The sequence below is a fragment of the Homo sapiens genome, chromosome 11 (assembly GCF_000001405.40).
Source record: "Homo sapiens chromosome 11, GRCh38.p14 Primary Assembly".
Taxonomy (NCBI): domain Eukaryota; kingdom Metazoa; phylum Chordata; class Mammalia; order Primates; family Hominidae; genus Homo; species Homo sapiens.
In genome coordinates this window covers 1,575,103-1,600,753 of record NC_000011.10, presented here as the reverse complement: position 1 = coordinate 1,600,753, position 25,651 = coordinate 1,575,103, and the positions used below count along the sequence as shown (strand labels likewise).

The 25,651-nt window shown below is 48.1% G+C and overlaps 2 protein-coding genes and 1 long non-coding RNA gene across 3 annotated transcripts in view, besides 2 other annotated features; 2 read left to right on the top strand and 1 right to left on the bottom strand.

Moving 5' to 3' along the window:
• Nucleotides 1-1,569: 1,569 nt before the first annotated feature.
• Nucleotides 1,570-25,651, bottom strand: part of KRTAP5-AS1 (KRTAP5-1/KRTAP5-2 antisense RNA 1) — a 26,444-nt gene continuing 2,362 nt past the window's right edge. The window contains exon 2 of the long non-coding RNA NR_021489.2: nt 1,570-3,506. This is a non-coding gene — a long non-coding RNA (KRTAP5-1/KRTAP5-2 antisense RNA 1). The remainder of the gene's footprint in view (nt 3,507-25,651) is intronic.
• On the top strand, nt 2,460-3,577 carry KRTAP5-2 (keratin associated protein 5-2). The gene has a single exon (NM_001004325.2). It carries the CDS (start codon nt 2,504-2,506, stop codon nt 3,035-3,037), a length of 534 nt encoding a protein of 177 aa, NP_001004325.1. The 5' UTR covers nt 2,460-2,503; the 3' UTR covers nt 3,038-3,577.
• Nucleotides 2,684-3,257: an enhancer, noted in NCBI's record as "H3K27ac-H3K4me1 hESC enhancer chr11:1618727-1619300 (GRCh37/hg19 assembly coordinates)". NCBI's record gives its function as "activates a minimal SCP1, AML or CMV promoter by ChIP-STARR-seq in primed H9 embryonic stem cells {active_cell/tissue: H9 hESC(primed)}" and the evidence as "EXISTENCE:reporter gene assay evidence [ECO:0000049][PMID:30033119]".
• Nucleotides 3,832-4,405: an enhancer, noted in NCBI's record as "H3K27ac-H3K4me1 hESC enhancer chr11:1617579-1618152 (GRCh37/hg19 assembly coordinates)". NCBI's record gives its function as "activates a minimal SCP1, AML or CMV promoter by ChIP-STARR-seq in naive and primed H9 embryonic stem cells {active_cell/tissue: H9 hESC(naive and primed)}" and the evidence as "EXISTENCE:reporter gene assay evidence [ECO:0000049][PMID:30033119]".
• Nucleotides 15,471-16,412, top strand: KRTAP5-1 (keratin associated protein 5-1). The gene has a single exon (NM_001005922.1). It carries the CDS (start codon nt 15,505-15,507, stop codon nt 16,339-16,341), a length of 837 nt encoding a protein of 278 aa, NP_001005922.1. The 5' UTR covers nt 15,471-15,504; the 3' UTR covers nt 16,342-16,412.

Genomic DNA, 25,651 nt, shown 5'->3' with positions numbered 1-25,651 from the left:
CTGAATTGTGAGAAAATAAATGCCTGTTGTTGGGCCACCAAATCCGTGGTATTTTGTTATGGCAGCCCAAAAGCAGACTGATGTTCATGTATCAGGAGACTTAACATTTTTCAGATGGCAATACCCCCAAAATTGATCTACAGAGTCTATGCAATCTCTATCAGGAAAGCAGCTGGCTTCTTTGTAGAAATTCACAGGCTGATTTTAAAGTTCATGTGGAATCTCAAGGGACCCGGAATAGCTAAAACAAGGTTAAAAAGAAGAACAATGTTGGAGGGCTCACACTTGCCAATTTGAAAACTTACTACAAAGCTGCAGTCATCAGGGCAGTTTAGCACTGTTGTTAGAATAAATGTATAAACCAGTGGAATAGAATTGAGAGCCAGAAATAAACCCTCATGTAGATGACCAACTGATTTTTGACAGGGTGCCAGATCATTCAATGGAGGAAGAGCAGTACTTCAACAAATGATGCTGGGAAACTAGACATCCACATGCACAGGAATGAGCTGGACCCCTACTTCACACCACATACACTAATTAATTTAAAATGGGTCAAAAGGCCTACATTTAAGAGTCAAATCTATAAAACTATTAAAAGAAAACATGACCTTGGATTCGGTGTGGATTCATAGATAGGACACCAAAAGCACCAGCAACAAAAGAGAAATACAAATACATTGGATGCCATCAAAAGTTAAATATTTTTGCACCAAAGGACGCTATCAACAAAGTGAAAGAACAGTCTACATAATAAAGGAAGAAAAGATTTACAAATCAGATATCTGATAAGCATCTAGTATCTAGAGTATATAAAGAACTTTTTCTTCAACTTTTATTTTAGAATCAGGCAGTACATGTGCAGGTTTTTCACATGGGTATATTGTGTGATGCTGAGGTTTGGAGTATGAATGAATCCATCACCAAAATAGTGACTGTGGTACCCAGTAGTTTTTCAGTCCTTGCCCCCTTGCTCTCTCCTCTTGTTCCCCAGTATTCAGCCTTTGCCCCCTCCCTCCCTTCCTCCCTCCTCTTGTTCCCCAGTGTCTATGGTTTTCATCTTTATGTCCATGTGGACTCAAAGTTTAGCTCTCACTTATAAGTGAGAATATGTGGTATTTGGTTTTCTGCTTCTGCATTAGTTCCCTTAGGATAACGGCCTCCAGCTTCATCCATACTGCTGCAAAAGATATGACTTCGTTCTTTTTTGCAGCTGTGTAGTATTCCATGGTGTATATGTACCACATTTTCTTTATCCAATCCACCATTGATGGGCACCTGGGTTGATTCCACATCTTTGCTTTTGTGAATAGCACTGCAATTAACATATGGATGCATGTGTCTTTTTGGTAGATTGATTTATTTTCCTTTGGGTATATACCCAATCATGAGATTGCTGGGTCAAATAGTAGTTCAATTCTTAGCTCTTTGAGAAATCTCCAAACTGCTCTCCGTGGTGGCTGAATTCATTTACATTCCCACCGACAGTGTACAAGTGTTCCCTTCTCTCTCAAGCTTTGCCAGCATCTGATTTTAGGTTTTTTTGTTTTGTTTTGTTTTTTACTTTTTATCAAAAGCCATTCTGACTGATATGAGATGGTATCTCGTGGTGGTTTCGATTTACATTCCCCGAATAGTTAGTGATGTGGAGCATTTTTTCATATAGTTGTTGGCCAGTGTTGAAGGAGGGGCCTGCAGGGAGGTGTCTGGGTCATGGGGGTGGATCCCTCATGAGTGACTTAGTGCCACCCCCTTGGCGATGAGTGTGTTCACTCAGATCTGGTTGTTCACAAGTGTGTGGCTCCTCCTCACCCCTTGCTCCCACTCTCACCATGTGGTGTGCCTGTTCCTGCTTCGCCTTCCACCGTGAGGAAAACTCCCTGAGGGCCTCCCCAGAAGCTGAGCAGAGGTGGGTGCCATGCTTGTGCAGCCTGCAGAACCATGAGCCATTCTAACCTCTTTCCTTTATAAATTACCCAGCCTCAAGTATTTCTTTAGAGCAATGCAAAGAATGGTCTAACACACCCGGAAAGCTGAGACTGGCATGAGTATAAAGATCGTGGATAATTTTGAAATCTAAAAATGTAAAATTAATATTATTGAGGGAGTCAACACAGGAAAGATGAGAGCACGTGGGCAGAGGCTGTTGCCCATTGGTCACATGTGGTCAGCAGAGAGCAGGTGACCAGCACCCTGGAGCTTTGCAGGAAGAACCAGACAGCCTGGAGCTGAGGTTTTAATTGTAGGGGCCAAAACAAATGGGGAAAAAGACAAATTTAGAAAACAAAGAAAGTAGATGCTCAACTGAGCCAGAAGGAAGTCACTAGCAAAGAGGAAAAAAATAGAGCTCTGGAAAAATAGTGTAAACAGTCACAAGAAAGGGACCCTGTGTCATGCCTGACATCTGGACAGGTATATAAAGAGCCCAGGCTCAGGGAGCTCCACACCTGCACCTCCCTCTCACCTGCTCCTCTACCTGCTCCACCCTCAATCCACCAGAACCATGGGCTGCTGTGGCTGCTCCAGAGGCTGTGGCTCCGGCTGTGGGGGCTGTGGCTCCAGCTGTGGGGGTTGTGGCTCTGGCTGTGGGGGCTGTGGCTCCGGCCGTGGGGGCTGTGGCTCTGGCTGTGGGGGCTGCAGCTCCAGCTGTGGGGGATGTGGCTCCAGATGTTATGTGCCTGTCTGCTGCTGCAAGCCCGTGTGCTCCTGGGTGCCAGCCTGTTCCTGCACCAGCTGTGGCTCCTGTGGGGGCTCCAAGGGGGGCTGTGGCTCCTGTGGGGGCTCCAAGGGGGGCTGTGGCTCCTGTGGGGGTTCCAAGGGGGGCTGTGGTTCTTGTGGCTGCTCCCAGTCCAGCTGTTGTAAGCCCTGTTGCTGCTCCTCAGGCTGTGGATCATCCTGCTGCCAGTCCAGCTGCTGCAAGCCCTGCTGCTGCCAGTCCAGCTGCTGTGTCCCCGTGTGCTGCCAGTCCAGCTGCTGCAAGCCCTGTTGCTGCCAGTCCAACTGTTGTGTCCCTGTGTGCTGCCAGTGTAAGATCTGAGGCTCTGGACCCAGACCTTCAGGTTTCTCCTGTTTGGTGAAAGCATTTCTTATGGTTCCCTGAGTCAGTTCGTCCCACACATCCTCCCTGAGGCACCTGCACCTGCTCTAGCTCACCATCCATGCACACACCTCCTTCCATGGCTCAGCTCTCCTCTGGGCCCTGCCTTCAGCCTCCTCACTCCAGAAACGTGTGTTTCCCTGATGCGGGAGGTGTCCTCGCCTGGACGCAGGCACCCAGCCGACTGCCACGATGTTCCCTGCACTTGGGTGTGGACCATCTTCTTCTTCTCCCTGGGCTGACTGAGATGCAAGGTCTGACCCCACAAGGCCAGGCCGACGTTTCTGAGTGATCACTAAGAACCAGCTTCTCAACCACCATCAGGACCCTGGATCCTCCTGGGCCGCTGCCTGTTCTCCTGTGGCCCAAGTGTGACCAGGAAGGTCTCTTTCCTTCCTGTTGTCTCCATCTGTTTAAAAAAAAATAACAAAATAATGAATGAATTTCCTTGCAATAAAGCCTCTCATGTCTGTAAATCAACTGTATACTTGGTGCAATTCTGTCCAACCCCTTTCCTGTGCGGTGACCGATTCTGTGTTCTGATCTGTCAGCTAAGCTGGGAAACGCCTGCCAGCAGGCCTGGTACATTCACAAAAAAGCCTGCCATTCCCTTCTGTCCTCCTCTCGGCCTCAAATATCTTCACAGTCTCTGCTTGCAGGAGAAGAGGGCTCAGCCCGGGGAGGATTCGGCATTCAATGCCCGCCCTAGAGGCGCAGAGGGGCAGGCGGGCCCTGAGTCCTGACGACCAGCCAAGCAGGGCCTTGCACAAGACCCATGGCTTCCAGCTTCCCGCTCTCCTCTGGGGCCTCGGAAGGACCCCAGGCAGGGCAAGGTCGGAGGAGGGAGGAGTGAAGCACCGCTGAGCTCCAGCGCGGTCTGATTCAAACACTCAATTAGCCTTTTACAATCATGAGGTCAACGGCTTTCCATAACTAAAGGTAACCAGGAAGTTACAGAATGGCCCAAGGTGTCCTCGGAGCTCAGTCTCCCGGCAGGAAAGGGGAGTTCCTGGGAAATGACACATTTGGGGACCCTGAGCCAAGTCCATCTGTTTCATGGTGACGTGCCACCACGCTGAGCCTGTTCTCTGACCAGTGTCACAGGCAAGGCTTTAGAAATCACGCACTGGGGAGGAGGGGACGAGAGTGATCTGAGGATGATCTCCAGACAAGCGAACCTGGAGGGAAAAGGTGGAGGGAAGAGAGCACACAGGGAGCGCTGGTGAGAAATGAGCTCCCACAGAACACCCACAGATCTAAGCGACTGCTGATAATGCCAGGGAAGAGCAGAGTGGGAATTTCCAGGACAAATTTCTGAGAGAAAAGAGATGCAATGTAAGGAAAAATGAAATAATCTAGAAATAAAGGCTTAGATTAATTCAGCCACTTTTAGGAGAGGGAATAAAAGTGTGTCAAAGGTGCATCTTGCTAGGGGACATGGCTATCGTTAGTTTCACGACGTTAAAAGGAAATGCTGCTTAAGACAGTTTACTCAAAAATCCAAACTGGGAAACTCCAGAAGGTGGCAGCAGACATGAACGCAGAGTTCATTACATTTGGGCCCTGTACATTCCCACAGCCCACAGGACACCGAGCAACTCGGTAACAAAACCAAAAATGCATGCTGGAGACTTATAACAAAACCAGGTAAGCCAGGCATGGTAGCGCAAACCTGCAGCCCCAGCTACTTGGGAGACTGAGGCAGGAGGATGGCTTGAGCCTAGGAGTCTGAGGCTGCAGTGAGCTGTGATCGCACCACTGAACTCCAGCCTGGGCAATATAAAGTGAGATGGTGTCTTAAGAAAAAGCAGGTGAACCTAAAAGTACAAGAAGGTGGGGATAAATTTCCAAGAGCCACAGTCCCCCAGGGTTTCAGTGTCTGTGCAGGAGAAAGCGAAGAAACATCTAACAGAGACGAAAACAGGGGAACCTCAAAAGAGCCAACAGGTGTGTGCTGGAAAAGCGCAGCATGAATTTTGGATTTGGCTCCTGAAATGGGGAAGGTTTTCCTCCCTCTAGTGGTGAGTGGGTGCAAGGGCCCTCGGTAAGTCCCTAGAGGCAATGGAAGAAAGCTAGGAAGCCTGCCGTGAAACAGATCACAGTGGTAGCCTACTGTTTCCAAAGGAGCTAATGAACAATGAAAGGAAATGATACCAGACATAAATAAGGCCGGGCGCGGTGGCTCACACCTGTAATCCCAGCACTTTGGGAGGTGAGGCAGGAGGATCACTTGAGGCCAGGAGTTCAAAACCAGCCTGGGCAACATAGTGAGACCCCCACCTCTACAAAACATTTTAAAAACTAAGTGGGTATGGTGGTGTGTGTCTTTAATCCCAGCTGCTAGGGAAGTTGAGGCGGGAGGATTGCTTGAGCCTAGGAGGTTGAGGCTGCAGTGAGCTATGATCCTGCCACTGCACTCCAGCCTGGGCAACAGAGTGAAACCCCATCTCAAAAAAAGAGACATAAATGAACAACAAAAGTCATAAATAGAAGAATTGCTAAATGAGGGGACATCACTTAAGAGAAAATTAGAGTTAAAAGAAATCACTCTAGAAATAAAGTCTAAAGTGGGACAAACGTATGAGTAAAAAAGTACAATAAATTTTAAAAACCAAAAAGAAATGAAGAACTAAAAAGGATTCAAGAGACAATGACAAAAATTGAAAAGAAGCAAAGAAGATCCAAGACTCCTAACCAAAGTCATGTATGACAGTCAAACAATTACATAAAAAACTAGAATAAAAAAGCACTAATCAAAAAGAACAGAAGAGAAAAAGAAATATAGATCAGGTGATGCAATAGAAAATTCAGACTAAGAACATAGGTTTTAAACCCAAATATTTCAGTAATTATTTCACAAGTAAATGGACAAAATGCTCTAGTTTACATATAAAGATTGCTAGACAAGTTTTCTTAAAAAATGTATAACTAGATGTAAAGTCAAAAGTTGCATCTAAAACATAAGGATTCAAAAATGTAAAAAAAAAAAAAGAAGGGGGGGTAGAAAAAGACATAACATGCAAAGCAAGCTATACTAATAGTAGGCAAAATAAAAACAAAGGCCTGGCTGGGTGCAGTGGCTCACACCTGTAATCCCAGCACTTTGGGAGTCTGAGGCGCACAGATCACCTGAGGTCGGAAGTTTGAGACCAGCCTGACCAACGTGGTGAAACCCAATCTCTACTAAAACTAACAAAAAAAATAGCTGGGCATGGTGGGGCACGCCTGTAATCCCAGCTACTCAGGAGGCTGAGGGAGAAGAATCGCTTGAACCCAGGAGGCAGAGGTTGCAGTGAGCCAAGATCACGCCACTGCACTCCAGCCTGGGCAACCAGAGTGAGACTCCATCTCAAAAAATATATATATACATATATATATATATGCATGCATCATATATGTGCTGAGAATTTTATAGATCACAATCCTCAGCTAATGAATCCTATATAGACATTGTTTTTATTTAACTTTTTTCTCCTTCATTATCCCAAGTCCCATCATCCTCTCCACCCATAGGCATCCATCCTTGCAGGTATCTTTCCAATTCATCTTCCATAAGTTATTTACAAACATTTGCATATAATCATGACAAATATGTAGCATTTTTCAATGTGTATGTATTTGGTTTTGGTTTTGTTTTTGAGACAGGTCTTGCTCTGTCACCCAAGCTGGAGATAGAGTGCAACGGTGCAATCTCAGCTCACTGCAACCTCCACATCCCGGGCTCAAACGATCCTCCTGCCTCAGCCTCCCAAGTAGCTGGGACTACAGTCGCACCTCCACACCTGGCTAATTTTTGTATTTTTTGTAGAGATAGGGTTTCACCACGTTGCCCAGGCTGGTCTCGAACTCCTGGACTCAAGTAATCCACCTGCCTGGCCCTCCCAAAGTGCTGGGATTACAGACGTGAGCCACTGTGTCCAGCCTTGTGTATGTTATTTAAATTCATGATGGTTATAAATTCTGTTCTGTTTCTTGCGTTTTAAGCAAATCTGGTGCTTTTGGCATGTATTGCTACATGAAAATACAATGCATTATTTCTGGCCACTGAAGTGTGTTCCACTAGATTCCTGCCCCCCATTTCCCACATCCATCACCCTTTTTTGAGCTCTTTGCTGCCATATAATCCACCATGATGAATATCCTCATTGCTCAGCATAACACCCAGGAGTGGTGAACCTAGTGAATGAGTTTTCAATGATCAATGAGTGGGATGCTGAAATGGGGAGCCTGGGAGAACAGATTTCTTTTCCTTTTTTTTTTGAGATACAGTCTCATTCTGTCGCCCAGGTTGGAGTGCAGTGGCACGATCTCAGCTCACTGCAAGCTCTGCCTCCTGAGTTCACGCCATTCTCCTGCCTCAGCCTCCTGAGTAGCTGGGACTACAGGCACCCGCCACCACGCCCGGATAATTTTTTGTATTTTTAGTAGAGATGGGTTTTCACTGTGTTAACCAGGATGGTCTCCATCTCCTGACCTTGTGATCTGCCCACCTTGGCCTCCCAAAGTGCTGGAATTACAGGCGTGAGCCACTACACCCGGCCCCAGATTTCTTGAGAAGTATCTGTTTTGGAAGGAAGGCGACTGAGGTGTTGATCAGTGCCATATCTACATCTTCTTCATCAATATGGAATGATGCTTTCATGATCTAAAAAGGCAATAGCCATAGAATGAATGTGCTTCCCAGAATCAAAAGGCCATACCAAAAAAAAAAAATGCAGTTTATAACAACCAAAAATATTGCTCCTCCTCAAGGCTGTGTACAGAGCTAGTATATTTGTGTGATGGATGGATCCCATTACACTGTATGTGCTTGAAAGGCAGAAGTCACGTAACGACTCCCGCTGTATGCTGCAGGTAAGCACATAGCTGCTCACGCCTCTCACTAAATACCACGCGCTAAATGTAACATATCAGTAAGACTGCAGGTGTTTCCATTCTCTTCAAAAACCAGGGGCGTTTTGTTTTCATTGCTTAACTCTGATTAAAAATAAGGTTGAAGGTCTTTTCGCGTCCTCACTAGCCATCTGTGGGTGGTCTATTCCTATGCTTTGCCCACTTCTCCACTAGGTCTCCTGCCCTCTTCTGTTGATTTTCAGGGTTCCTGTCTAGACATTAGCTTCTAGGGGTTATAAATATGGCAAATGGCAAATATCTTCTCCCAGTTGATCAATCTTCTTTTTTTTTGAGACGGAGTTTCACCTTGCTGCCCAGGCGGGAGTGCAATGGTGCAATCTCGGCTCACTGCAACCTCCACCTCCCAGGTTTAAGCAATTCTCCTGCCTCAGCATCCCGAGTAGCTGGGATTACAGGCATGCACTACCACACCTGGCTAATTTTGTATTTTTAGTATAGATGGGGTTTTACCACGTTGGTCAGGCTGGTCTCGAACGCCTGACATCAGGTGATCTGCCCACCTCGGCCTCCCAAAGTGCTGGGATTACAGGGGTGACCCACCACACTTGGCCCCAATCATCTTTTAATGGTTTTTTTGTGGGGTGATATCCAGACATATATCAGTAATTTTGATGTGGTTAAATACAGCATTTTCCTAATTACTGTTTATGTTCTGGGGATCATATTTAAGAATTCATTTCCTGACCCCAAGATAATAAACACAATCTCCTATATTATCTTCCACTCTTTTTATATTTTCCTTTCACTTTTACATATCCTTTTAGGTCTTCAATCCATGTGGATTATAGAGGGTGTGAGGTAGGCATCTAATTTTAATTCTCTGCATAGAGTGAGCCATCTTCCCCATTCAATTTGTTAAAGATTAAAGCTCCTCTGGCTGGGCACGGTGGCTCACGCCTGTAATCCCAGCACTTTGGGAGGCTGAGGCAGGTGGACCACCTGAGGTCAGGAGTTCGAGACCAGCTTGACCAACACGGAGACACCCCGTCTCTACTAAAATACAAAATTAGCCAGTGTGGTGGTGCATGCCTGTAATCCCAGCTACTCGGGAGGCTAAAGCAGGAGAATTGCTTGTACCCGGGAGGTGGAGGTTGTGGTGAGCCAAGATCGTGCCATTGCACTCCAGCCTGGGCAATAAGAGTGAAACTCTATCTCAAAAAAAAAAAAAAAAAAAATTAAAGCTCTGCAATAGATGGGTCTTTTCTGGGTTCCTGTTCTGTACTTCTAACTATTTATCCATTCATGTGCTAGTAGCAAACTGTTTTAACAACGAAGACTTTATTATGCCTTAATATCAGGCAGAGACTACCCCTTCTGAATATTATTCAGGAGTGTCTCAGTTATTCACAAGTTTGCACATAAATTTTAGATCTATGGAATAATTTTCAGAATTAAATCCTTCTGGAATTTTAATTGAATAAAATCCATTGAATGTATGAATATAAGAAACTGAACTTTTTATAATGTTAAGACTTTCCACCCATGAACATGATATATTTCTCCACTTATGACGGTCTTCTTTTATTTATTTATTTTTTTGAGATGGAGTCTCACTCTGTTGCCCAAGTTGGAGTGTAGTGGCAAGATCTCAGCTCACTGCAACCTCCGCTCCTGGGTTCAAGCCATTCTCCTGCCTCAGCCTCCCAAGTAGCTGGGATTACAGGCATGCACCACCACACCCAGCTAATTTTTGTATTTTTAGTAGAGACAGAGTTTCATCATGTTGGCCAGGCTGGTCTTGAACTCCTGGCCTCAGGTGATCCACCCACCTTAGCCACCCAAAGTGCAGGGATTACAGGTGTGAGCCACCACGCCTGGCCAGATTGTGGACTTTTAAATAGACAAACTGTATATGCACATTTATCTCAATAAAACGGTTTTCTTTTTTTAAAAAAGACACATGGGGGCCAGGCGCAGTGGTTCACGCCTGTAATCCCAGCACTTTGGGCAGCCAAGGCAGGCGGATCATGAGGTCAGGAGTTTGAGACCAGCCTGGCCAGCATGGTGAAACCCCTTCTCTACTAAAAATACAAAAAATAAAATAAAATAAAATAGCTGGGCATGGTGACAGGCGCCTGTAATCCCAGCTACTTGGGAGGTTGAGGTAGAAGAATCACTTGACTCCGGGAGTTGGAGGTTGCAGTGAACCAAGATCTTGCCACTGCACTCCAGCCTAGGCAACAGAACAGGGCTCTGTCTTAAAAAAAAAAAAAAAAAAAAAGACATATGGGGACATGTAGTAGATTTGACATTTGTCCAACTAGAGATGAGAGAGACTCGGGAGAGGTGAGACAGGGAGAGTCTCCCAAGGTTGAAACTGGAACCCTCGGTCCAGGAAGGACATGGCATGAAGCAGGTGGGAGAACCAAATGTGCAAGCCAGCTTCCACAGCAGACATGGAAGGCCAGGGACTCCAGCCTGCACAGCAGACACAGAAGGCCAGGCAGCTCCAGCTTCCACAGTAGACACGGAAGACCAGGACTCCAGCTTTCACAGCGGACACAGAAGGCCAGAGACTCCAGCTTCCACAGCAGACTCAGAAGGCTGGGGACTCCAGCGGAGGGGCAGAGAAAGTGACAGCAGCAACAGACGAAACAGCCGCCAGTGACACCTTTCAAGCACTGAGGAATTTTGTGCCAACCAAAGCATTATTCAAAAGTGAGGGCAGGCCAGGCATAGTGGCTCACGTCTGTAATCCCAGCACTTTGGGAGGCCAAGGTGGGAGGGTTGCTTGAGCCAAGGAACTCTAGACCAGCTTGGGCAACTTAGAGAGACCCCATCTCTACACAGAAATTAAAATTAGCTGAGTGTGATGGTGTGCCTTTGTCATCCCAGCTGCTGGGGAGGCTGAGGAGAAAGGATGGCTTGAGCCCAGGAGCAGGAAACAAGCCACCTCCATGTGAAAATGCAGGCTGTCTACTGATGAATGCTCGGGAGGAGCAGGAAACAAGCCACCTCCATGTGAAAATGCAGGCTGTCTACTGATGAATGCTCGGGAGGAGCAGGAAACAAGCCACCTCCATGTGAAAATGCAGGCTGTCTACTGATGAATGCTCGGGAGGAGCAGGAAACAAGCCACCTCCATGTGAAAATGCAGGCTGTCTACTGATGAATGCTCGGGAGGAGCAGGAAACAAGCCACCTCCATGTGAAAATGCAGGCTGTCTACTGATGAATGCTCAGGAGGAGCAGGAAACAAGCCACCTCCATGTAAAAATGCAGACTGTCTACTGATGAATGCTTGTGAGGGAACTTCCGGAGGATGTTTTCAGGAAGAAGGAAGCTGAGCCCGGAAGGAAGAAGTATGGTGTAAGCAAGAACCACGCCTAGAGTTGTTGGTGGATGTGTGGCAAGTTTAAGCAAATACTGACTATAAATAAACAATGATGAGCAATGTGAGAGGAGCTAAGACGCTGGAGAAACTCCCACAGCTGACACCGGAGGGGCTGGGCAGGGGAAGAAGCTGTCCCCAGCTCCCTGCACAACTCTCAGCAGGGGAGGAATAGAGGGCCATCACGTGTAGACAACATTTGTTTAAAAATACACATGAAATGCATAAGGTTGCTGCTAAAAACAGGAATAGTGTATATAACTTCTAAGTCAGTCAAAGCAAAACAAAATAAAAACAAAAACAGAACCTTAAAAACTCCATCTAAAAGAAGAGGGGAAGGAAGCACTACCACAGGATGGTGAAATGCAAAGGGTGGTGGGAAGCAGCCCACGTATGTCAGAAATCACAGCAAACCCCACAGGCTTAGCTCATCGGGTAAAGAACAGAGACCCCAAAATATGGGAGCTTTTAAAGCAGCCCCACAGTAGTTACCTCACCCAGAAGCTTGCAGAAAGGCTGAAAGAAGCTGAATGAAAATGACTGCAGAAAAGGGAGGGAGGGAGGGAGGGAAGGAAGGAGGGACAGATAGAAAGCCCAGATGGCAGTGACTCTCTATCGCACGCCTCCTGGCCTGACAGTCCACGTCCAGCAGACAGTCACGCACCCCAGCACCCGCATGTTTAGAAAGTGCAAAAAGAACAATGGAGAAAATAAAGATATGAGCAGAACTAAATAAAAATGTTTAACACATACAACAAACAGAATCAACAAAATCAAAAGCTGGTCTTTCAAAAGACAAAGAAAATCAACAATATTTAGCAAAACCAATGAGGAAAAAAAGGGTCGGGCAGGAGAAAGAGCATGTATAACCTGAAGCAGGGATGAAAAACGGCAAATAGGCTGGGCACGGTGGCTCACGCCTGTAATCCCAGCACCGTGGGAGGCCAAGGCAGGTGGATCACCTGAAGCCAGGAGTTCGAGACCAGGCTGGCCAACATGGCAAAACCCTATCTCTACTAAAAATACAAAAATTAGCCAGGCATGATAGCAGGTGCCTATAATCCCAGCTACTCGGGAGGCTAAGGCAGGAGAATTACTTGAACCCGGGAGGCAGAGGTTGTGGTGAGCCGAGATCACACCACTGTACTCCAGCCTGGGTGACAGAGTGAGACCCTGCCATAAAAAAAAAAGAAAGAAAAGAAAGCAAATAATGACAAATTTAGCAGCTATTAAAAATAACAGGCTACTAAGCCAGGCGTGGTGGCACACGGTAGGGATTTGTAGTAGTCAAATGTGGTAGTCTGTAGTAGTCCCAGCTACTTCAGAGGCTGAGGACCACTTGAGGCCAGGCGTGAGTTCGAGACTGCAGTGAGCTATGATGGTGCCTGTGAACGGCCACTGCACCCCAGCCTGGACAACATAGCAAGATCCCATCTTCAAAAACAGAGGCAACTATGAAAAGTACATCCCAATAAATTTGAAAAACTTAGAATAAATGACATCTATGTTAAGAAGAAACACAGGAGGATGAGGCAGGAGAATTGCTTGAACTCGGAGGCAGAGGTTGCAGTGAGCCGAGATCACACCACTGCACTCCAGCCTGCGCAACAGAGCGAGACTCTGTCTCAAAAAAAAAAAAAAAAAAAAGAAGAAGAAGAAGAAGAAGAAACAAAAGGCTGGGCGCTGTGGCTCTCGCCTGTAATCCCAGCACTTTGGGAGGCTGAGGCAGGTGGATCATGAGGTCAGGAGACCAGCCTGGCCAACACGGTGAAACCCTGTCTCTACTAAAAATACAAAAATTAGCTGGGTGTGGTGGCACGTGCCTGTAATCCCAGGGGAGACTGAAGCAGGAGAATTGCTCAAACCAGGGAGTCAGAGGCTGCAGTGAGCCGAGACCATGCCACTGCACTCCAGCCTGGCAACAGAGCAAGACTCCATCTCAAAATAAAAGAATCCAGAAAATTCAAAGAACTTCAGACACCAATAAAAATAATAATGATCTTGGCCAGGTGTGGTGGCTCACACCTGTAATCCCAGCACTCTGGGAGGCCGAGGTGGGTGGATCACTTGAGGTCAGGAGTTCAAGACCAGCCTGACCAACATGGTGAAACCTTGACTCTACTAAAAATACAAAAATTAGCCAGGTGTGGTAGCACATGCCCGTAATCCCAGATACTCGGGAGGCTGAGGCAGGAGAATTGCTCGAGCATGGAAAGCGGAGGTTGCAGTGAGCCGAAATCGCACCATTGCGCTACAGCCTGGGAGACAGAGCAAGACTCTCCATCTCAAAAATTAATAATAATAACTATCTCAATTTTGTAAAGTGGGCCAAGGACGTGAAATTAACGAGACTCTAATGACAGGTGACCATATGGAAAGAGGCACAGCATGGCTAGTAACCAGGAAGAGGGAATATTAAACCACAGTGTGTAACACTGTGTTACACACCCACATGAAGGGTGTAAGTTGACAGTTGCAAGTTTTGGTGGGGGTGCCAGGAAACAGGAGCTCTCTGGCAATGCTGGTTGGACAGCAGCTGGCTGGGGGGATCCCTTGGGAAGACAGCTTGGTAACAAGAACCTCCTGACTTTCAGGCACCCACACCTGCAGGAGGGGTTTTGGGCAAGAAAGTTGCAGCTTGCTTGAAATAGCAACAAAAAGGAAACAAAAGGTCCATCAACAAGTAAATGGATAAGTCAATGTATATTTAGAAATCAGAGAAAACAAATAAATTAAAACCATATGTATCCCTAGAGAAAATCTCTTTAGCCTAACACCTATTTTTTTCAAAAGCAATTTACAGAAAGAGAAATACAGTGTAATACCCATTACATAAAGTTTTCAGCATGTAAAATTTTTTTTTCTTTTTTCTTTTCTTTTTTTTTTTTTTTTTTTGAGATAGAGTCTCACTCTGTTGCCCAGGCTGGAGTGCAATGGCGTGATTTCAGCTCACTGCAACCACTGCCTCCCAGGTTCAAGCGATTCTCCTGCCTCAGCCTCCCGAATAGCTGGGATTACAGGCACATGCCACCATACCTGGTTAATTTTTGTATTTTTAGTAAAGACGAGGTTTCACCATGTTAGTGAGGCTGGTCTCAAACTCCTGGACTCAAATGATCCGCCCACCTCAGCCTCCCAAAGTGCTGAAATTACAGGTGTGAGCCACCGCGCCTGGCCACAAAACATTTTTAAAGGAACATACATATTAAGTAGGAGTGTGAGGACCTTCATGAGAGTGGTGAATTCCAAATTCAAGAAATTATTAGGGTGGGACAGAAACAATATGGAGAGATGGAGGAACAGAGACTTCATTTATTTATGCCATTTTTTCCCAAGTTGAGTAGGGTTTTTTTTTACATTTTTTAAATATATTACTCTTTATACCATCGTTCAACTAAAATAGATCACTTTTTTTTTTTTTTTGAGACAGAGTCCCGCTCTGTTGCCCACACTAGAGTGCAGTGGTGTGATCTCTGCTCACTGCAACCTTCACCTCTGGGTTCAAGCCATTCTCCTGCCTCAGCCTCCCAAGTAGCTGGAGTTACAAGCATGCACCACCATGCCTGGCTAATTTTTGTATTTTTAGTAGAGATGGGGTTTTGCCATGTTGGGCAGGCTGGTCTCCAACTCCTGACCTCAAATGATCCACCTGCCTCGGCCTCCCAAAGTGCTGGGATTACAGATGTGAGCCACCACACCCAGTTAATTTTTGTGTTTTTAGTAGACACGAGATTTCACCATTTTGGCCAGGCTGGTCTCCAACCCCTCACCTCAAGTGATCCACCTGCCTAGGCCTCCCAAAGTGCTGAGATTACAGGTGTGAGCCACCATGCCCAGCCTAAAATAGATGCTTTTGTAAATCCAGTGTGACTCTGGAGTCAACAGGGAGAGGCTAGACCCTTGGGGGCCTCCATTAAGTCTGGACACAGATTCAGCAAGAGAGCAGCAGCCCACTGAGCAGCCCATACACCAAGGGGCGGATTTCTAGAGGAAACAAGAAAAAGGGGCCCTAAAAATGGCACAAACAGGAACCAGGAAATGTGTGCCCAGCCTCACACATGACCCTGGGCAGGGATATAAAGGGTCCAGGCTCAGGGAGCTCCACACCTGCACCTCCCTCTCACCTGCTCCTCTACCTGCTCCACCCTCAATCCACCAGAACCATGGGCTGTTGCGGCTGCTCCGGAGGCTGTGGCTCCAGCTGTGGGGGCTGTGGCTCCGGCTGTGGGGGCTGTGGCTCCGGCTGTGGGGGCTGTGGCTCTGGCTGTGGAGGTTCTGGCTCCAGCTGCTGTGTGCCCGTCTGCTGCTGCAAGCCCGTGTGCTGCCGTGTGCCAACCTGTTCCTGCTCCAGCTGTGGCAAAGGGGGCTGTGGCTCTTCTGGGGGCTCCAAGGGGGGCTGTGGCTCCTGTGGAGGCTGCAAGGGGGGCTGTGGCTCTTGTGGGGGATCCAAGGGGGGTTGTGGCTCCTGTGGGGGCTCCAAGGGGGGCTGTGGCTCTTGTGGGGGATCCAAGGGTGGCTGTGGTTCCGGCTGTGGGGGATGTGGCTCCAGCTGCTGTGTGCCTGTCTGCTGCTGCAAGCCCATGTGCTGCTGTGTGCCAGCTTGTTCCTGCTCCAGCTGTGGCAAAGGGGGCTGTGGCTCCTGTGGGTGCTCCAAGGGGGCCTGTGGTTCTTGTGGGGGCTCCAAGGGGGGCTGTGGCTCCTGTGGAGGCTGCAAGGGGGGCTGCGGTTCTTGTGGGGGATCCAAGGGGGGTTGTGGCTCCGGCTGTGGGGGCTGTGGCTCCGGCTGCGGTGTGCCCGTGTGTTGCTGTTCCTGTTCCAGTTGTGGCTCTTGCGCGGGGTCTAAGGGAGGCTGCGGGTCATCCTGCTCCCAGTGCAGTTGCTGTAAGCCCTGCTGCTGTTCCTCAGGCTGTGGGTCATCCTGTTGCCAATCCAGCTGCTGCAAGCCCTGCTGCTCCCAGTCCAGTTGCTGTGTCCCCGTGTGCTGCCAGTGCAAGATCTGATTTCTGGCTTTGCAGGACTCTTACCATGGCCAGGCATTCCTGCCCAGCCTTTACCTCCTTTTCCTGGCACCCAGTGAGCCAGACTCTCCTTCCCCACCCACTACCCTATCTCCCACCCTCCTGCCTTGCCAAGCATGAACACTTCTCTTTGACCTTCTACCAAGAAATGCCATGGGCCCATGCATCCAAGAAGAATGACTTTCAAGGCCTCCCTTCCAGGCATCTGGAGACCAGCCCCCCACCGCCCCAGCCACCTGCAGCAAATGCCTATCCGCAAGCCCTGCCTGCTGGCACCACATCCAGCACGGACAGCCCTGCAGGACAGCCCAGGGTGCTTGCTCACTCTGCAGTCACTAGGAGTTCAGATCTCTGTCCTTTAAACATCCAATAAACCGCTCACCCCAGCACCCCATAGCTGTCTTGGTATATTTATGTTTATTTCCCTCTCGAGGCAGGTGGGGGGCATCTGTGGCTACACTGGGTCCCCTGGGAACCACACACACACACACACACACACACACACACACACACACCGGCCCTGAACCAAACCGGAGCAGGCAGGTGGGCGCCCTGGCCAGCAGGGATCCTGGATACATGGTGGCGGTCAGAGGCAGGAGCACCAGCAGCCACCTGGCTCAGCCCCTTGCCGTGCAGCCTCTACCACACCCTCTCAGCATCTGGCTCAGGGCGGGGGTGCCTTGCCTTGATCAGGCAAAAGCAATCACTAGGGGGTCATCATGGCCTGTTACCACGCGGTCTTATTCTCTTTGGGCTGATGTAACAGAACACCATGGACTGGCATGTACAACAGAAGTGTATTTCTCAGGGTTCTGGAAGCTGGCAGTCTGAATTAAAGATGCCGGCGGCCAGGTGCGGTGGCTCATGCCTGTAATCCCAGCACTTTGGGAGGCCGAGGGGGGCGGATCACCAGGTCAGGAGATTGAGACCATCCTGGCTAACACGGTGAAACCCCCCTCTCTACTAAAAATACAAAAATTTAGCCGGGCATGGTGGCAGGCGCCTGTAGTCCCAGCTACTCAGGAGACTGAGGCAGGAGAATGGTGTGAACCCGGGAGGCGGAGGCTGCAGTGAGCCGAGATCGCGCCACTGCACTCCAGCCTGGGCTACAGAGCAAGATTCCGTCTCAAAAAAAACAAAAAACAAACAAAAAAAGCCAGAAGAATGCAAATATGACATTCCAGAGGGGATGTATATGGAAGGTCAGCAATCCCATTGCAGCAACCAGAGAAGGCCACATTAATTACAGAACTCAGATGGTAAAATAAATAAATAAATAAATAAATAAATAAATAAATAAATAACTTCAGGAAATCCTACCGTATGTATCTTACCACAATTTTTTTTTTCTGAGATGGAGTCTCACTCTGTTGCCCAGGCTGGAGTGCAGTAGTGTGATCTCCACTCACTGCAACCTCTGCCTCCTGGGTTCAAGCTATTCTCCTGCCTCAGCCTCCTGAGTTTCTGGGACTACAGGCATGAGCCACCATGCCCAGCTAATTTTGTTTTGTTTGTATTTTTAGTAGAGATGGGGTTTCACCATGTTGGCCAGGCTGGTCTCAAACTCCTGACCTCAAGTGATCTACCTGCCTCACCCTCCCAAAGTGCTGGGATTATAGGCGTCAGCCACTGCATCCGGCCCACAATTTTGAAATACCGGAAAAATGTATCTATAAAAAAGACATTGGAGAACTGTAGAAGCAACAAGAACCAGATGAAAACATTCAGAGAGAGCCCTTCCAAGATGAGCTGAATGTCGGCTTCTCTCCCTTTAAGGAATTAACCAGTGCTGGGTATGAGCTGAGCCTCGGTCCCACTGGGGAAGAGGAATTCTACTGGGAGAAATACCCAGCAGGGCTCTTGGCAACCACAGGGGCTGGAGCAGAAAACTGGGACATTTGCAAATTTCTGGGGAGGCTAAGAAGTGAGGCCTGAGGCCTCCGCAGGTGCGCTGAAGTCTCGCATAGCCTTGTGGAGCTTAGTACACAGAGCTTTTCTAGAGGAAGGGGTCCTGCCCCAGGCACAGGTTAATCTGGCCCTTAAGACATTTTCCAAATTTTGAAGCTGCCTGAGCAGACAACTAAAGAGCTAAGCCTGTACCTCAGGGAAAGAAGTGACTCTCTGACAGCCTGTCAGGGATAAGAAGACACGGACTGGCCAGGCTCTTAACCAAAACTCCAGGAAAGCCACACAGAGGGACGATTGACTGAAGTGGCCCAATCCCTAACTGAGCGGGTAGACGAAATGTTCAGCTCCTCTCCCTGTCTGCACTAGAGAGGGAGGCCACGTGCTCACTGTTGGAAGAGAGCAGCTAGACCCCCACAGTCCTTAGATGGAGACCCCCACGGTCCCGAGATATAGACCTCCACGGTCCTTAGATACAGACCCCCATGGTCCTGAGATATGGAGCCCCACGGTCCTGAGATATAGACCCCCACGGTCCCGAGATACAGACCGCCACAGTCCTTAGATATAGACTCCCACAGTCCCTAGATATAGACCCCCACGGTCCCTAGACACAGATCCCTACGGTCCCTAGATACAGACCCCCACGGTCCTGAGATACAGAACCCCACGGTCCCGACATATGGTCCTTAGATATGGACCCCCACGGTCCCGAGATATAGACCCCCCACGGTCCCGACATATGGACCCCCATGGTCCCTAGATATGGACGCCACGGTCCTTAGATATAGACTCCCACAGTCCCTAGATATAGACTCCCACGGTCCCGAGATACAGACCCCCACGGTCCTGAGATACAGATCCCCACGGTCCTGAGATATGGACCCCCACGGTCCCTAGATATAGACCCCACGGTCCTTAGATATAGACTCCCACAGTCCCTAGATACAGATCCGCACGGTCCCTAGATACAGATCCCCACGGTCCCTAGATACAGACCCCCACGGTCCTGAGATACAGAACCCCACGGTCCTTAGATATAGACCCCCACGGTCCTGACATATAGACCCCCCATGGTCCCAAGATATGGACCCCCACAGTCCTTAGATATGGACCCCCACGGTCCCGAGATATAGACACCCCCACGGTCCCGACATATGGACCCCCCACGGTCCCTAGATATGGACCCCCACGGTCCCTAGATATGGACCCCCACGGTCCTGAGATACAGAACCCCACGGTCCTTAGATATAGACCCCCACGGTCCTGACATATAGACCCCCCATGGTCCCAAGATATGGACCCCCACGGTCCTTAGATATGGACCCCCACGGTCCCGAGATATAGACACCCCCACGGTCCCGACATATGGACCCCCCACGGTCCCTAGATATGGACCCCCACGGTCCTTTGAGGCATACCTCTGACAGAAAGCACGAGATACAGGACACAGCAGGAAACAGTGATCAATAATCATGCGGAAAGCTAACAGAAGAAGCAGATTACAGATAAGCCACATATTGGAGTTAGGAAACAAGGGCTTTAAAATAACTATGATTGGGCCAGGCACAGTGGCTCACGCTTGTAATCCCAGTGCTTTGGGAGGCCGAGGAGGGCGGATCACCTGAGGTCAGGAGTTCGAGACCAGACTGGCCAACATGGTGAAACCCCATCTCTACTAAAAATATAAAAAGTAGCCAAGGGCCAGGCACGGTGGCTCACGCCTGTAATCCCAGCACTTTGCGAGGCCGAGGTGAGTGTATCACAAGGTCAGGAGTTCAAGACCAGACTGGCCGACATGATGAAACCCTGTCTGTACTAAAAATATAAAAAGTAGCCAAGGGCTGGGCACAGTGGCTCACGCCTGTAATCTCAGCACTTTGGGAGGCCGAGGCAGGCAGATCACAGGTCAGGAAATCGAGACCAGCCTGGCCAACATGGTAAAATCCTGTCTCAACTAAAAATACAAAATATTAGCCGGGTGTAGTGGCATGCGCCTGTAGTCCCAGCTACTCAGGAGGGTGAAGCAGGAGAATCGCTTGAACCCGGGATGTGGAGGTTGCAGTGCGCCGAGATCGCACCACTGCACTCCAGCCTGGGCAACAAGAGCAAGACTCTATCTCAAAAAAAAAACAAAAAAAAAAGTAGCTGGGCATGGTGGTGGGCACCTGTAATCCCAGCTACTTCGGAGGCTGAGACAAGAGAATTGCTTGAACCTGGGAGGCAGAGGTTGTAGTGAGCCAAGATTGCACCATTGCACTCCAGCCTGGGCAACAGAGCAAGACTCCGTCTCTAAATAAATAAATAAAACAATATTCAATGTCCTATAAAATTTTTAAACTTTGTGGAAGTAAAATATATGACAACAGCACAGAAGTCAGGAGAGGGATAAACAGAATTAAATAGTTGTAAGGTTCTTGCCTTGTTTATGAAGACACGAGATTATTAACTGATAATATGTTATCATAATCTCTGGATGGGTGCAGAAGCTCACGCCTGTAGTCCCAGCACTTCGGGAAGCCAAGGCAGATGGATTGCTCAAGACCAGGAATTCAAAACCAGCCTGGGCAACATGGCAAAACTCCATCTCTACCAAAAATACACAAATTAGCCGGGTGTGTTGGCAGGTGCCTATAGTCCTAGCTACTCAGGAGGCTGAGGTGGGAGAATCACCTGAGCCTGGGAGGTCAAGTCTGCAGTGAGCCATGATTATGCCACTGCACTCCAGCTTGGATAACAGAGTGAGACCCCATCTCAAAAAAATAAATAAATAAATATAACCATCTCTAAGGTAGCCATTAAAGGATAATGAATACATAACCCGGAAGCTAACAGAAGACAGAAATTAGGCCAGGTACGGTGGCTCATGCCTGTAATCCCAGCTCTTTGGGAGGCCAAGGCAGGCTGATCACTTGAGGTCAGGAGTTTGAGACCAGCCTGGCCAACATGGTGAAACCTCGTCTCTACTAAAAGTACAAAAAATTAGCCAGGTGTGGTGGCCCGTGCCTATAATTCCAGCTACTTGGGAGGCTGAGGCACAAGAATCGCTTGAATCTGGGAGGCAGAGGCTGCAGTGACTCGAGATTGCACCATTGCACTCCAGCCTGGGTGACGGAGTGAGACTCTGTCTCAAAAAAAAAAGGAAAGAAAAAAAAACAGAGAGAAGTTAAATAAGATGCATGTTGTTTAGAAAAAACAAACCCTAAATATCAAGATCCAGGAAGATAGAAAGCAAAAGAATAAAAAAAAAGATATATTAGGCAAACATTAATGTTTTCAAAAACCTAGTATAATGATAGTAAGATCAGACAATGTGGACTTTGAAACAAAACCATTATTAGAAGAGATAACATTTCATGATGATAGGAGAGTTCATGCAACCAAACAGAAAACAATCCTAAACTTCTATGTGCCAAATAACTGAGCTTTAAAACATATAAAGCAAACATTGACAAAACTAAAATAAGAAATAGATAAATCCACAAATACAATTGGGACTATAATTGGGAATGTATAGGAATAATTGGGAATTTTAATGAACCTCTCTCTCACTCCACACAATGTGCCAGCTTCCCCAAACCCTCAGACACTCTGGCCTGCCCAGCAGCTGCCAAGAGGGGCCAGTAACACCACCTGAAGATGCAGGGAACTTAATTCCTCGGGAGAGCAACTCTGACCTATGAGAGCAGAAGACAGGAAGGAGCTTGCAGAGAAACTATTCTCCCTTCCTCCTCCCTGTGGACCATTCTGAGGTGGAGCATCGCTGTATGGTCTCGTGGGAGAGGGTGTGCAGACGTGGCCAGCTGAGCTGCAACTTCCAAAAAGCCACAGCAGCTGAGTAAGAAGCAGCCTTGCCTCAGCTTCACCTCCTCCCTGGCTCGGTGTGTTCCTCCCTTCCAGAAAATGTGTACACTGAGCTTTGCATCTGGCTACTTTCTGGGGAATGGAAGCTAAGACTCCCACCATCACCATGTCCACTTAGCATTATAATGGTGATGCCAGCCCATGCAATATGACAAGAAACAAGCAATGTGAGGTTTGGAAAGAAACGAAAGTGCAGATTCATAGATGATAGGGCCATCTACCTGGGAAATCCAAGTGAACCTACAGGCGGCCTGCTTGGAGGAGTAAGAGAAGTCAGAGAGGGTGATCGACAGCCAGCCCATGACAGGCAACAACACATCAGAAATTGTGGTTTTTATAACCTTTCACAAAGCAACCGAAATCATAAGCTCAGGAGTAATATACGCAATGGGAAGACTGTAAGGCCTCCCTGGGGAAGATTATAAGGCAATATAGAAGGACGTCTTCAAACTAAATATGGAGTCTGTGTGAGAAGACACTCCAGTGTCCTCCTAGTCAACCCATCAAGTAATGCAGCTATAATCAAAATGCATAAAATCCCAAGTGTTGGCAAGGGTTTTATTTTATTTTATTTTGAGACAGAGTTTTGCCCTTGTTGCCCAAGCTAGAGTGCAATGGCACAATCACAGCTCACCGCAACCTCCACCTCCCGGGTTCAAGGGATTCTCCTGCTTCAGCCTCCTAAGCAGCTGGGATTACAGGTGCCCACCACCACACCCGGCTAATTTTTGTATTTTTTAGTAGAGATGGGGTTTCACCATGTTGGCCACGCTGGTCTCAAGCTCCTGACCTCAGGTGATCCGCCCACCTCAACCTCCCAAAGTGCTGGGATTACAGGTGTTAGCCACCATGCCCAGCCCTGGCAAGGGTTTTAAATGGAGTTCTTCTAGCCTGCTGGCAAGTTATTAGAATTCTCCACTCAGGGCAACTTTGCAATATCTGGGGACATGGGAGTTGGGGGCAGGGGGCGCTGTGGCTCACGCCTGTCATCCCAGCACTTTGGGAGACCGAGGCGGGCAGATCACCTGAGGTCAGGAGTTCGAGACCAGCCTGGCCAACATGGTGAAACCCTGTCTCTACTAAAACTACAAAAATTAGCAGGGCATGATGGCAGGCGCCTGTAATCCCAGCTACTCAGGAGGCTGAGGCAGGAGAATCGCTTGAACCCAGGAGGTGGAGGTTGCAGTGAGCTGAGATCGCACCAGTGTACTCCAGCCTGGGCAACAGAGCGAGATGCCATCCAAAAAAAAAAAAAAAAAAACTAGGAAAGAAAATAATCCTGTAATCCCAGCATTTTGGAAGGCTGAAGGCCAAGAGAGGAGGATTGCTTGAGCCCAGGAATTTGCGACCAGCCTCGGTAACATAGTGAGACTTCATCTCTACAAAAAAAATTTTTTTTTTCTGAGATGGAGTTTCATTCCGTTGCCCAGGCTGGAGTACAGTGCCACGATCTTGGCTCACTGCAAGCTCCGCATCCTGGGTTCAAGCGATTCTGGTGTCTCAGCCTCCCGAGTAGCTAGGATTACAGGCACGCACCACCACACCTGGCCAAAAAAAATTTTTTTAATTAGCTGGAGATGCTGGCACATGCCTGTAGTGCCAGCTACTCAGGAGGCTGTGATGGGAGGATCCCTTGAGCTCAGGAGGTTGAGACTGCTGTGAGCTATATTTCCACCAGTGCCCTCTGGCCTGGGTGACAGAGTGAGATCCTGTCAAGAAAGAAAAGGAAGACAGGAAGGACAGAAGGACAGAAGGAAGGAATGAAGGAAATGGAGAAAGAGAGAGAGGGAAGAAAGAAAAATAATCTGAGAAGTGTGTTACAAACATGTAAGAGTTGGGTGTGGTGGCACGTGCCTATAATCTCAGCTACGGGAAGCCTGAAGCAGGAGGATCACTTGGGCCCAGGAAGAGTTCAGTCCAGCCTGGATAAAATAGAGGGATCCCATATCTCTTTTTTTAAGCATATACAATAGGATGCTGTCTGCTGCAGTTTTTTTGTTTGTTTTCTTTTTTGTTTTTTGTTTGAGATGGAGTCTCGCTCTGTCACCCAGGCTGGAGTGCAGTGGTGCGATCTCGGCTCACTGCAAGTTCCGCCTCCCGGGTTCAAGCAATTCTCCTGCCTCAGCTTCCCAAGTAGCTGGGACTACAGGCGCCCGCCACCACGCCCAGCTAATTTTTTGGATTTTTAGTAGAGACAGAGTTTCATCACATTAGCCAGGATGGTCACGATCTCCTGACCTCATGATCCACCCGCCTCGGCCTCCCAAAGTGCTGGGATTACAGGCATGAGCCACCGTGCCCGGCCTGCTGCAGTTTTTTATAGCCCAAATATGAAAATAATCTAATATGTAAAAAATAAAGAATTGGTTCCACTCTTGCCATACACCCATGAAATACAGAACCACACAGACGTTATCATCAGGTTGTGGGAAAGCAGCAATGTGGACGAATCTCAAAAGTATTTCCTTAAGGCCAAGCAAGGTGGTTCACGCCTGTAATCCCAGCACTTTGGGAGGCCAAGGTGGGCAGATCACCTGAGGTCAGGAGTTCGAGACGAGCCTGGCCAACGTGGTGAAACCCAATCTCTACTAAAAAATACAAAATTTAGATGGGCGTGGTGGCGGGCGCCTGTAATCCCAGCTACTCAGGAGGCTGAGGCTGGCGAATCGCTTGAAACCGGGAGTCGGAGGTTGCAGCGAGCTGAGATCGCGCCACTCCACTCCAACCTGGGGGAACAAAGAGACTCTGTCTGGAAAAAAAAAAAAGTATTTCCTTGAGTGAAAGATGCCAGGGGCAAAAGTCCTCTCATTGTTTGTTTCCATTGTTTCCATTTTTATAAAGTGTACGAACAGATAGCAGTAACTCACGGTGACAGGTCAGAGGGTGAGGACAGGGCACCAGGGAACTTCTGGGATAATAAAGTTTCTAGGTCTCATTTTGATGGTGATAAAACTACATATACAGTTGTCAAAACCCATCTACTGGCTGGGTGCAGTGGCTCACGCCTGTAATCCCAGCACTTTGGGAGGCCAAGACGGGAGGATCACCTGAGGTCAGGAGTTCGAGACCATCCTGGCCAACATGGTGAAACCCCATCTCTACTAAACACACAAAATTAGCTGGGCATGGTAGTGGCCGCCTGTAATCCCAGCTACTTGGGAGGCTGAGGCAGGAGAATCGCTTGAACCCAGGAGATGGAGGTTGCAGTGAGCTGAGATCGTACCACTCCACTCCAGCCTGGGCGACAAGAATGAGACTCCGTCAAAAAAAAAAAAAAATCTACTTGAATAATGGGTGCCAAGGGCTGGGGAGGGGGTTGGGAAGTTGGTGTCTAATGAGGACAGAGTAGAGTTCCAGTTTTCCAAGACGAAAAGCTCCAGAGATGGGTGGTGGTGACGGTTACACAGAAAGTGAATGTACTTAATGCTGCCAAATTCACTTAAAAATAGTTAATATGGCACACCGTATGTTCCTGCATGCATTTTACCACAAGAAAAAATCATACGGTTTTTAAAGAAATAAC

What these genes read in the sequence shown, in the direction of transcription:
- KRTAP5-2 (NM_001004325.2), top strand. Translation starts at nt 2,504, where the DNA reads ATGGGCTGCTGTGGCTGCTCCAGAGGCTGTGGCTCCGGCTGTGGGGGC.
- KRTAP5-1 (NM_001005922.1), top strand. Translation starts at nt 15,505, where the DNA reads ATGGGCTGTTGCGGCTGCTCCGGAGGCTGTGGCTCCAGCTGTGGGGGC.